General features: G+C 42.2%; 1 protein-coding gene and 1 long non-coding RNA gene across 63 annotated transcripts in view, besides 3 other annotated features; one reads left to right on the top strand and one right to left on the bottom strand.

Moving 5' to 3' along the window:
* Positions 1–12,359, bottom strand: part of MIA2 (MIA SH3 domain ER export factor 2) — a 154,608-nt gene that overhangs the window by 118,280 nt on the left and 23,969 nt on the right. For 19 of the 62 annotated variants that reach the window (NR_148722.2, NR_148723.2, NM_001354154.2 and 16 more), the window contains exon 1: positions 2,721–2,858. The exons of 11 other annotated variants lie outside the window; for them this stretch is intronic. Coding sequence is in view for 21 of the 51 variants with exons in the window: in NM_001354154.2 (NP_001341083.1) it covers positions 2,721–2,783 (63 nt within the window). In the remaining 30 variants the exon portion in view is untranslated. Of the gene's footprint in view, positions 1–2,720; positions 2,859–3,053; positions 3,120–3,203; positions 3,322–3,449; positions 3,572–3,715; positions 3,946–4,821; positions 4,953–12,359 lie in introns of those variants that run through there. 32 more of the 62 variants (NR_148721.1, NM_001354148.1, XM_017021317.3 and 29 more) reach the window with 6 other exon arrangements.
* Positions 2,490–3,070: an enhancer, noted in NCBI's record as "H3K27ac hESC enhancer chr14:39736377-39736957 (GRCh37/hg19 assembly coordinates)". NCBI's record gives its function as "activates a minimal SCP1, AML or CMV promoter by ChIP-STARR-seq in primed H9 embryonic stem cells {active_cell/tissue: H9 hESC(primed)}" and the evidence as "EXISTENCE:reporter gene assay evidence [ECO:0000049][PMID:30033119]".
* Positions 3,071–3,653: an enhancer, noted in NCBI's record as "H3K27ac hESC enhancer chr14:39735794-39736376 (GRCh37/hg19 assembly coordinates)". NCBI's record gives its function as "activates a minimal SCP1, AML or CMV promoter by ChIP-STARR-seq in primed H9 embryonic stem cells {active_cell/tissue: H9 hESC(primed)}" and the evidence as "EXISTENCE:reporter gene assay evidence [ECO:0000049][PMID:30033119]".
* MIA2-AS1 (MIA2 antisense RNA 1) lies at positions 3,182–4,540 on the top strand. Its single transcript, NR_038935.1, has one exon. It is a non-coding gene; the product is annotated as an MIA2 antisense RNA 1 (long non-coding RNA).
* Positions 3,414–3,463: a silencer, noted in NCBI's record as "silent region_5688". NCBI's record gives its function as "represses an Ori minimal core promoter by ATAC-STARR-seq in GM12878 lymphoblastoid cells {active_cell/tissue: GM12878}" and the evidence as "EXISTENCE:reporter gene assay evidence [ECO:0000049][PMID:35858748]".

Below are 12,359 nucleotides of genomic sequence, written 5' to 3'. Positions count from 1 at the left end.
GTGACAGAGCAAGACTCAGTCTCAAAAAAAAAAAAAAAAAAACCACAACAGAGTGAAATACCACTCACCTGTACACCCACAAGGGTGGCAATTAAAAACAAAAGAAAACAGAAAATCACAAGCGTTGGAGAGAATGCAGAAAACTGAAACCCTCATAAACTGCTGGTGGGGATGTAAAATGGTGTGACCTCTGGAAAACAATTTGGCAGTTCTCAAAAAGTTAAACATATGGTAAATATGACTCAGCGATTCCACCCAGGTACTTACCCAGGAGAACTAAAAACATATATAAAAACTTATACACAAAGCAGCATTATTCATAATAGCCAAAAAGTATTAATAATCCATATGTCCATCAACTATGACATAAATGTGATATAGTCACACAACGGAATATTTTTTCACCATAAAAAGAAATGAAGGGCCAGGCGAAGTGGCTCACGCCTGTAATCCCAGCATTTTTGGAGGCCTAGGTGGGCAGATCACTTGAGCCTAGGAGCTCAAGACCAGCCTGGGTAACATGGAGAAACCCTGTCTCTACAAAAAATACAAAAAAATTAGCCAGGCCTGGTGGCATGTGCTGTGGTCCCACCTATTCAGGAGGCTGAGGTGGGAGGATCACCTGAGCCAGAGAGGTCTAAGCTGCAGTGAGCTGAGATCAAGCCACTGCACTCCCCCCTGGGTGACAGGGATGAGACCCTGTCTCAAAAAAAAAAAAAGAAAGAAAAAAGAAATGAAGCTCTGTTACATGCTACAACATGGATAAGCCTTGAAAACATGCTAAGTAAAAGAAGCCAGACAAAAGGCCACATATAGCATGACTACATGACACATGCAGAATAGACATGTTCATAGAGACAGAAAATAGATTAGTGGTTGTCAAGGGATGAGGGGTGGGAATTAAGACTGCTAATCAGTAGAGTTTATTTTCTGGGGTAATAAAAATGTTGAGGAACTGTGCTGACAGTTGCATAACATAGTGAATTTAACAAAAAAAGCACTGAAATGGACATTATAAAAGGATGAATTTTATGTTGTGTGAATATATCTCAATACAAAATAATTTTTAAAAATAAAAAAAAAATTTAAAGCGGAACAATGTTGTGCCATCCTAGCCCCCAGGCCAGGGTACTCGCATTTAGCAAAAAAAAAAAAAAAAAAAAAAAAACTGTGCAGGTGAAGATACAACGCACCAGACTAGAGAAAACTGCAAAATCTGGCTGCATTTCTCCATGTATTTCTGCATTTCTCCATGTACACTGGCAGTCCTATAAAAACTAAATCTTGATTATTATTGTTTTTAGTGAAGAAAGGGAAATATGCTTCTCTTTCTAAAAACCCTACCTCCATGAATAAGTTACCACAGCCAGAAACCTGGGAGTCCTTCTAGATTCCTTCTCTCTCACCCTTCACATGCAATCAATAAAGTCAAACATATTTTAGCTCTTAGAGGCTATTTCTCCACACAGTACCCTCTTTCCTATCCTTACTACTGTCACCTCTCCCTTAATCCCTATTTCAAGTTTTGTTTCCCTAACATCTAATCTACATGCTACTATCAAGAAGAGCTTAAATTTTAAACCACAAGTCTAACCACGGAAAAGCCTTCAAGAGCTCTCCAACACCTACAGCACTTGGAACCTACTTACATCTCCGGCAAGCATCATTGCCCATCACTCCCTAAGCCCACTTTACACTCTAAGTAATACAGCTCCTAGTTCCCTGCACTGTGTGTGTATGCTTAGGTAAGCACTTCATCAGTTTCTACTTTGTACTATTTTTTTTTTTGTCTTCTCTCTCTTAACAGACAACATGATGCTAGTGGCCAAAACTAAGTCTTAGTCCATTTAGAATCTCCATAAAGGTGCTCTTTTCATATTAAATACATATATATGCGTATGCATTAGACAAACTATGAACTCATAAACACCATGGCAACACTACCTTTAATTCACCTAACAAGAAAACATAATCGTAACTGCCTCAATAATTAAGTGGTCTTTTTAAAGATTTAATCCAGTTTTTAAAAACACGGCGACATAAATGCCCCTACACATGTCAACAAAGATACCTAGAAACACTTAAGGAGAAAAATCTCTACAACTTGATTATAAACTAGACCTGAAAAATAAAAAACAAAATTTGAACACTGGGAGTTTACTATCTCTAGACTGTACATTAACAAGACAGAAGCGAAGAACAATCTCACTCATGGTAGAGCATCTCAAAAGGGCATTCATTCTTTACCAAAAAAAAAAAAAATGCAGAATCAAAATTTCAACTCCCCGCCCAACCTCAGGTGTTCTTTCAAGGTTCAACGAGAAGTTACATCAGTAAATGTAACTAATTTAAAGGAACAGTCCTCAAGTTTCTCACAGTCGAAGGAACCACGTGTCTCTGCTCAAAATAAACAACATAGCGGAAAGGCTAATTAGTTTTAGGAATCGGGAAACATTTACATCTTTGCAAAGTCCAGCTAAGCAAGTGCTTTCTTCACCTTCCCAGAGCCCCAGGTCCTCCTCCATCACACAAAAACCACTCAAGCGCCCTACGAGCCTAACTACTGCCTCGAACACGGGCGGGAGCCGGGCAGCAGACGAGGACTGGCTTCGGGACCTCTGACCACGGCGGCTTAGACCCCAAAGCCGGTCTACTGCTTCCTTCCCCCGGCGGCTCCCGCGACCCCTGGGCCACGTAACACTCATCGCGCCTGGGCTCACCCTGCGTAGCTCCTCCAGGAGCAGCCCCAAATACGGTTGAGGGGTAACCCCGGGCTCCTCCATAGCGCCAAAGCTGCTCTCGTGGTCGCCACAGTAACCCCGGCCTGTCGGGGCCACAATAAACGGCGGAGAACACACAGCCTTCGGTCCGGAACCCGAATCCGCACCCGGCAACCGGAGTGGACCACTGCGGAGCCGGCTGCGGGGGGAGCTGGGGGACAGGGGCACCCGCAGGCCTCACAGGCCTACGCTGCCCATCCCGACCCTCTTGTTATACTTTACATCCCGAGGCAGCGCAGGTCCGAGCCCGACCCGCACAAGCCTGCGACGTACCCTGTCCTCGCCACCCCACCCCTCGGTTTGGTTTCGGCCGGGCAGCCGCGAGAAGGCGGGGAGGCGCGGACAGCCGCAAACTTCCCCTTCTTCGCGCAAGCTTCGCAGACGTGTCCGGGTCGTTTGCTCTTAAAGGGGCCGGCGCTCTACCTGGCGAAGCCACCCAGCCCTGGTAGTGGAGAGGCTTGGGACTAGAGGATGAGATTCGGCCTCATACTCCGCGCTGTCGTGTGAGCCGCACAACCCCAAAGACCAGGGCTATGTCCCAAGGGCACCCGCCTCGGGCGGCCGCGGTGGCGGCGGCGGCGAGACTTCTCCTAGAGGCGTCTCGGCGCAACCCCCACCCCCCCGACCCAGGGGCCGACGCCAGGCCCAGCCCCGACACCCAAGGCTTTCCTTCCGCAGCCTCGCTGGAGCCTGCTGTCTGCGCCCTGCAGAAGTCCTGACGGCGGCGTACCCCGGGAGACCCCGGCAGCCCCGAGAAGCCAGCCGCCGCCGTCATTCCAGTCAGAAAAATGGCCTGCGGGGCACGCGCCGGTGCGCCCTGCCAACCACGTCCGGACTTTGGACTTTAGACAGGAAGGCGTCCCGGCTCAGCTGTGGTTTGGTCAGAGTTTAACCTGTCCCACGCAAGAGAACCTCGATCTGGTTTCCTCGCTTACCTGAGTCACCTGGGCACTTGTTAGGCCCAGCTGTCTTCAGTTCCATTAGCGGCCAGTTACCCAAATGCTAAATCAAATCCCCGTGGACCTTGGCCTGGCGCGGTGCGTGCTGTTTTCCTCCGAGAAGAGGAGCTAAAAGTAGCACCTTGCCTTCTAAATTTAGGACTCTATTTTTAGGACCGTCGAATAAAGTGCCAAGTGCTGGATTTGTTCGTAGGAGACGGTTTTAGCTGACGTAGGTGTAAAGGATAACCCATCTCATATATATGTCTTCCTTGCCAGCATGATCATTCTCATTATATTCTGCCTTCTCACTCAAGTACTTTGGTGAAGCAACTCAAAAAGGAGCAGATACTTCCTCCTAAACAAATCACCCAAAAGAACTCAATAGATGAACAAAATCTTAAATCCTTAGGAAATTTTCCTGATGTAACCTCTTGTAGCAACGAACTGTTATGCCATTTAAAAAATCAAAAACTGGCCCAAGTTCACAGCAAGTGATTTTTCAGGACCAAAATGCGGCCTAGCTTTTCAGAACTCAAGATTGCTATTTCTCCTTTGCCACATCAGCCTGAGGAGTTTCAGGAAATGCTAATATCAGAGTAGCCAAAATTGCTTAGTAATTCTCCATTGTTAAGGTATAAGGTATTACACAACTTTCATACGTGTTAGACACTGTGTATTAAAATTATGTGAATAGTTCATTAAAGTCAAAACAAGCATAATCAAACTTTTATCTTTAGAATTTCACAGACTCCTAGAACAACGTGTATGCCTCAATTAGAACATTGTATTACTCAATAAAAATTCTTAAATGTGTCTGAACATTTTCGGAAGACTCCAGAATAATTTTCAGGTTTTAGAACTTTCAAAAAACAAAAACAAAAAAAAAACCTCCCTTTGCCCTCCCTAAGTCACTCTATGTCCCTCTCCAATTTTCAGTAATTACCACTCCAAATATTAAAAATATTAAGGACAGAGGATAAAATGAAAAAAAAAGAAAAATCCAAGTTCCCCCCATAGCAAAAACACAGTAAAGCTTAACAAACTTAGTGCAAAATTCCAAACCTCATTTGTTTCAGTATGCTTAATAGTTATAAACTCACCTCTTCCTCTGGACTTTTCAATTCCATTTCTTGAAAAGCTCATGTTAAAATTTCCTAACATGTAAATAAAGTTCTACCAGGCACCTCATATCCTTGAGAAAGATTTCAGATTCTAATATATCCTGCACTCTTCTGTTTCCACACTGTGATCCCGTTTTGACATTTGTGTGGTAAAGGGGTGCTACAGGTGGAGTTGTGACTACCAACCCATAACCCAATTTCATGGACCTCACTCGTTGTTAAGTATATATATATATATATACTCACACACATACATATGCACCTATATATGTTTTTTAAAATGTACATATTACTACCCTCTTACAATCTATAATTGAAAAGAAAAATCCTGAATTTGATAACTGATAAAAACTAAAATGTTTTATTCTATAGCCTATTCATATAGAGTACATGATCTCTATCATTTAAAAGATATTCAAAGACTGTCCTCCATAAGTAGACATGGGAATTTTTTGGTCTTATATAGTACCTGTTTTAAAGCAGATGTTAGAACAAATGCTGTTAGTGTTTGTGATAGATACTAGAAAACATCCAAGAACATCGGAAACATGCTAACCAGTAAACTTTGTTCACAACCTAGACACTGATTTCCCTTATGAAGGGCTCCATTGCAAAGCTGTAAGTACTAGTTACTCCCTTTTAATTAAACAGGCAGTGTCACAGACTTTAAGATTTACTCTTTTGGAAGAAAATCAAAATTGTGGAGCCACATCTTTAATCTCTGTACTAGTGATGTAAGAGTTGTTCTCAGAACATATTGAATCAGGAACTACCTGTTGAACAATAGCTGGATAATTTCCATTGTATATTCTGTGAATAAATGAAGCATTCTACTTAAGAATATATAAACATTAGAACTCAAAGAGGCTCCTCAATTGTAAAATAGAAAAAAAAGTAGTGTTAAAAATAGAACCACCATTCGACCCAGCAATGTCATTACTGGGTATATACCCAAAGAAAGTAAATTGTTCTAACAAAAGACACGTGCACTCTCATGTTCATTGCAGCACTATTCACAATAGCAAAGACATGGACTCACCCTAGGTGCCCATCAACGGTGCATTGGATAAAGAAAATGTGGTACATATACACGATGGAATACTATGCAGCCATAAAAAATGAAGTCACATTCTTTGCAGCAACGTGGATGCAGATGGAGGCCATTATCCTAAGCGAATTAACGTAGAAACTGAAAACCAAATATCACATGTTCTCACTTATAAGTGGCAGCTAAATCTTGGGTACGTACAGACATAAAGATGAGAAAAATAAACACTAGGGACTCAAAAATGAGGAAGGGAGCAGGTCAAGGACTGAAAAACTTCCCACTGAATATTATGTTCACTATCTGGATGACAGAATCAATAGAAGCCCAAATCTCAGCATCACGAAATCAACCCTTGTAACAAACCTGTACATGTACCCCTTGAATCCAAAATAAACATGGAAATAAGAAAGAAAGGAAGGGCTGGGCGTGGTTGGCTCACACCTATAATCCCAGCACTTTGGGAGGCCAAGGCGGGCGAATCACTCGAGGTCAGGAGTTCGAGACCAGCCTGGCCAACATGGTGAAACCCCGTCTCTACTAAAAAATACAAAAAATTAGCTGGGCATGGTAGTGTGCACCTGTAATCCCAGCTACTTGGGAAGCTAAGGCAGGAAAATCATTTGAACCCAGGAGGCCGAGATTGCAGTGAGCTGAGATCACACCACTGCACTCCAGCCTCGGTGACTGAGTGAAACTCTGTCTCAGAAAAAAAAAAAAAAGAGAGAGAGAGAGAGGAAGGAAGGAAAATAAAGGAAAAGAGAAAATAAGAGGAAAGGAAAGGAAAGGAAAGGAAAAGAAGAAAGAAAAGAAAAGAAAGATGCTGGGCATGATGGCTCAAGCCTGTAATCCTAGCACTCTGGGAGACTAAGGCAGAAGGATTCCCTTGAGCTCAGGAGCTCCAGACTGGCCTGGGCAAGATAGTGAGCTCTCGTCTCTACAAAAAATTTAGAAAAAAAAAAAAAAGAACAATCCATCAAGATCAAGTTGGCTTTATCCCTGGGATGCAAGGCTGGTTCAACATACACAAATCAATAAATGTAATCCATCACATAAACAGAAACAAAGACAAAAACCACATGATTATCTCAATACATGCAGAAAAGGCCTTCGACAAAATTCAACAGCCCTTCATGCTAAAAACTCTCAATAAACTAGGTATTGATGGAACATATCTCAAAATAATAAGAGCTATTTATGACAAACCCACAGCCAATATCATACTGAATGGGCAAAAACTGGAAGCATTCCCTTTGAAAACTGGCACAAGACAGGGATGCCCTCTCTCACCACTCCTATTCAACACAGTGTTCGAAGTTCTGGCTAGGGCAATCAGGCAAGAGAAGGAAATAAAGGGTATTCAGTTAGGAAAAGAGGGAGTCAAATTGCCCCTGTTTGCAGGTGACATGATTGTATATTTAGAAAACCCCATCATCTCAGCCCAAAATCTCCTTAAGCTGATAAGCAACTTCAGCAAAGTCTCAGGATACAAAATCAATGTGCAAAAATCACAAGCATTCTTATACACCAATAACAGACAAACAGAGAGCCAAATCATGAGTGAACTCCCATTCACAATTGCTTCAAAGAGAATAAAATACCTAGGAATCCAATTTACAAGGGATGTGAAGGACCTCTTCAAGGAGAACTACAAACCACTGCTCATTGAAATAAAAGAGGACACAAACAAATGGAAGAACATTCCATGCTCATGGATAGGAAGAATCAATATTGTGAAAATGGCCATACTGCCCAAGGTAATTTATAGATTCAATGCCATCCCCATCAAGCTATCAATGACTTCCTTCACAGAATTGGAAAAAACTACTTTAAAGTTCATATGGAACCAAAAAGAGCCCACATTGCCAAGACAGTCCTAAGCAAAAAGAACAAAGCTGGAGGCATCATGCTACCTGACTTCAAACTATACTACAAAGCTACAGTAACCAAAACAGCATGGTACTGGTACCAAAACAGAGATATAGACCAATGGAACAGAACACAGGCCTCAGAAATAACACTACACATCTACAACCATCCGATCTTTGACAAACCTGACAAAAACAAGAAATGGGGAAAGGATAACCTATTTAATAAATGGTGCTGGGAAAACTGCTAGCCATATGTAGAAAGCTAACTGGCTAGCCATATGTAGAAAGCTGAAACTGGATCCCTTCCTTACACCTTATACAAAAATTAATTCAAGATGGATTAAAGACTTAAAAATTAGACCTAAAACCGTAAAAACCCTAGAAGAAAACCTAGGCAATCCCATTCAGGACATAGGCATGGGCAAGGACTTCATGTCTAAAACAACAAAAGCAATGGCAACAAAAGCCAAAATTAACAAATGGGATCTAATTAAACTAAAGAGCTTCTGCACAGCAAAAGAAACTACCATCAGAGTGAACAGGCAACCTACAGAATGGGACAAAATTTTTGCAATCTACTCATCTGACAAAGGGCTAATATCCAGAGTCTACAAAGAACTCAAACAAATGTACAAGAAAAAAATAAACAACCCCATCAACACGTGGGTGAAGGATATGAACAGACACTTCTCAAAAGAAGACATTTATGCAGCCAACAGACACATGAAAAAATGCTCATCATCACTGGCCATCAGAGAAATGCAAATCAAAACCACAATGAGATACTATCTCACACCAGTTAAAATGGTGATCATTAAAAAGTCAGGAAACAACAGGTGCTGGAGAGGATGTGGAGAAATAGGAATGCTTTTACACTGTTGGTGGGACTGTAAACTAGTACAACCATTGTGGAAGACAGTCTGGCGATTCCTCAAGGATCTAGAAGTAGAAATAGCATTTGACCCAGCCATCCTATTACTGGGTATATACCCAAAGGATTATAAATCATGCTGCTATAAAGGCACCTGCACACGTATGTTTATTGCAGCACTATTCACATTAGCAAAGACTTGGAACCAACCCAAATGTCCAACAATGATAGACTGGATTAAGAAAATGTGGCACATATACACCATGGAATACTATGCAGCCATAAAAAAGGATGAGTTCATGTCCTTTGTAGGGACATGGATGAAGCTGGAAACCATCATTTTGAGCAAACTATCGCAAGAACAAAAAACCAAACACCGCATATTCTCACTCATAGGTGGGAATTGAACAATGAGAACACATGGACACAGGAAGGGGAACATCACACACCAGAGCCTGTCGTGGGGTGAGGGGAGGGGGAGGGAAAAGCACTAGGAGATATACCTAATGTAAATGACAAGTTAATGGGTGCAGCACACCAACATGGCACATGTATACATATGCAACAAACCTGCATGTTGTGCACATGTACCCCAGAACTTAAAGTATAATTTAAAAAAAGAAAAAAAAACAAGAAACGGGGAAAGGATCCCCTATTTAATAAATGGTGCTGGGAAAACTGGCTAGCAATATGTAGAAAGCTGAAACTGGATCCCTTCCTTACACCTTATACAAAAATTAACTCAAGATGGATTAAAGATTTAAATGATAGACCTAAAACCATAAAAACCCTAGAAGAAAACCTAGGCAATACCATTCAGGACATAGGCATGGACAAGGACTTCATGAATAAAACACCAAAAGCAATGGCAACAAAAGCCAAAATTGACAAATGAGATCTAATTAAACTAAAGAGCTTCTGCACAGAAAAAGAAACTACCATCAGAGTGAACAGGCAACCTAAAGAATGGGAGAAAATTTTTGCAATCTACCCATCTGACAAAGGTCTAATTTCCAGAATCTGCAAAGAACTTAATAAAATTTACAAGAAAAAATCAAACCATTTCATCAAAAAGTGGGCAAAGGATATGAACAGACACTTTTCAAAAGAAGACATTTATGCAGCCAACAGCCACATGAAAAAATGCTCATCGTCACTGGCCATCAGAGAAATGCAAATCAAAACCACAATGAGATACCATCTCACACCAGTTGAAATGGTGATCATTAAAAAGTCAGGAAACAACAGGTGCTGGAGAGGATGTGGGGAAATAGGAATGCTTTTACACTGTTGGTGGGACTGTAAACTAGTTCAACCACTGTGGAAGACAGTGTGGCGATTCCTCAAGGATCTAAAGCTAGAAATACCATTTGACCCAGGGATCCCATTACTGGGTATATACCCAAAGGATTATAAATCAAGCTACTATAATGACACATGCACACGTATGTTTACTGCGGCACTATTCACAATAGCAGACTTGGAACCAACCCAAATGTCCATCAATGACAGACTGGATTAAGAAAATGTGGCACATATACACTATGGAATACTATGCAGCCATAAAAAAGGGTGAGTTCATGTCCTTTGCAGGGACATGGATGAAGCTGGAAACCATCATTCTGAGCAAACTATTGCAAGGACAGAAAACCAAACACCGCATGTTCTCACTCATAGGTGGGAATTGAACAATGAGAACGCTTGGACACAGAGTGGGGAACATCACACACCGGGGCCTGTCATGTTGGCGGGGGGATAGGAGAGGGATAGCATTAGGAGAGATACCTAATGTAAATGATGAGTTAATGGTGCAGCAAACCAACACGGCACATGTATACACATGTAACAAAACTGCATGTTGTGCACATGTACCCTAGAACTTAAAGTATTTAAAAAAAAAAAAAAAAAAAAAAAACCTAGCCAGGCATGGTGGCACATGCCTGTAATCCCAGCTACTCAGGTGCCTGAGGTGGGAAGATTGCTTCAGCCCAGCAGGCTGAGGCTGCAGTGAGCTGTGATAGGGCCACTGTACTCCACCCTGGGTGACAGAGCAAGACCCTGTCTCAAAAAATAGAAAAAAAAGAGAAAGAGAGAGAGAGAAAAGAAAAGTGCTAACGGGAAATAAATTTTCAAAAGACATCCATTAAATTTTCAGATTACTCTTGCCAAGGCTCCTTGCGGAGATTTGAAAGAGATACTCTCCTTCTCTTTCCATTGTTGAATCAGGAGAGTCAGTATACTAGTAGCTGTCCAAAATCTGCCTCCTTGGCTGGGCGGTCTGGACTGGGTGGAACTGCTTCTCTAGATTCCTCCTCACTGGTCAGGGCATCTCTGAAGGAAAGGTAAGAGCCCCAGTTAGGGGCTTACAGACAAAACCCCCATTTCCCTGGGACAGAGCACCTGGGGGAAGGGGCGGCTGTGGGCAGAGCTTCTGTGGATTTAATCGTTCCTGCCTGCCGGCTCTAAAGAGAGCAACTGATCCTAACAAGAGGGATTCTATCAGCACAGCGCACCAGCTCTGCTAAGGGGCAGACTTCTTCCTCAAGTAAGTTCCTGACCCCCGCGCCTCCTGACTGGGAGAGACCTCCCAACAGGGGTCAACAGACACCTCATACAGGAGAGCTCCGGCAGGCATCAGGCCGGTGCCCCTTGATGAAGTGTCCAAAGGAAGGAGCAGACAGCAGTCTTTGCTGTTGTGCAGCCTCCACTGGTGATATCCAGTCGAACAGGGTCTGGAGTGGACCTCCAGCAAACTGCAGCAGACCTGCAGAAGAGGGGCCTGACTGTTAGAAGGAAAACTAACAAACAAAGCAAGATCAACATCAACATAAAGGACCCCCACACAAAAACCCCATCCAAAGGTCACCAGCCTCAAAGATCAGAAGTAGATAAATCCATGAAGATAAGGAAAAACCAGCACAAAAACGCTGAAAATTCCAAAAACCAGAATGCCTCTTCTCCTCCAAATGATTGCAAGTCCTCTCCAGCAAGGGCACAAAACTGAACAGAGAATGAGATTGATGAATTGACAGAAGTAGGCTTCAGAAGGTGGGTAATAACAAACTCCTCTGAGCTAAAGGAGCATGTTCTAACCCAGTGCAAGGAAGCCAAGAACCTTGATAAAAGGTTACAGGAACTGCTAACTAAAATAACTATTTTAGAGAGGAACAAATGACCTGATGGAGCTGAAAAACACAGCATAAGAACTTCGTGAAGCATACACAAATATCAATAGCTAAATCAATCAAGAGGAAGAAAGGATATCAGAGACTGAAGATTAACTTACTAAAATAAGGCGTGAAGACAAGATTAGAGAAAAAAGTATGAAAAGGAACAAACAACACCTCCAAGAAATATGGGACTATTTGAAAATACCAAATCTATGATTGGTTGGTGTACCTGAAAGTAATGGAGAGAATGGAACCAAGTTGGAAAACACACTTCCAGATATTATCCAGGAGAACTTCCCCAACCTAGCAAGGCAGGCCAACATTTAAATTCAAGAAATACAGAGAACACCACTAGCATATTCCTCAAGAAGAGCAACCCCAAGACACATAATCATTAGATTCACCAAGGTTGAAATGAAGGAAAAAATGTTAAGGACAGCCAGAGGGAAAGGTCAGGTTACCTACAAAGGGAAGCCCATCAGACTAACAGCAGATCTCTCTGCAGAAATCCTATAAGCCAGAAGAGAGTGGGGGCCAATATTCAACATTCTTAAAGAAAA

Source organism: Homo sapiens, chromosome 14 (assembly GCF_000001405.40).
Source record: "Homo sapiens chromosome 14, GRCh38.p14 Primary Assembly".
Lineage (NCBI taxonomy): Eukaryota > Metazoa > Chordata > Mammalia > Primates > Hominidae > Homo > Homo sapiens.
The sequence above is the reverse complement of the archived record's forward strand: the minus strand, read 5'-3'. Positions and strand labels throughout refer to the sequence as shown.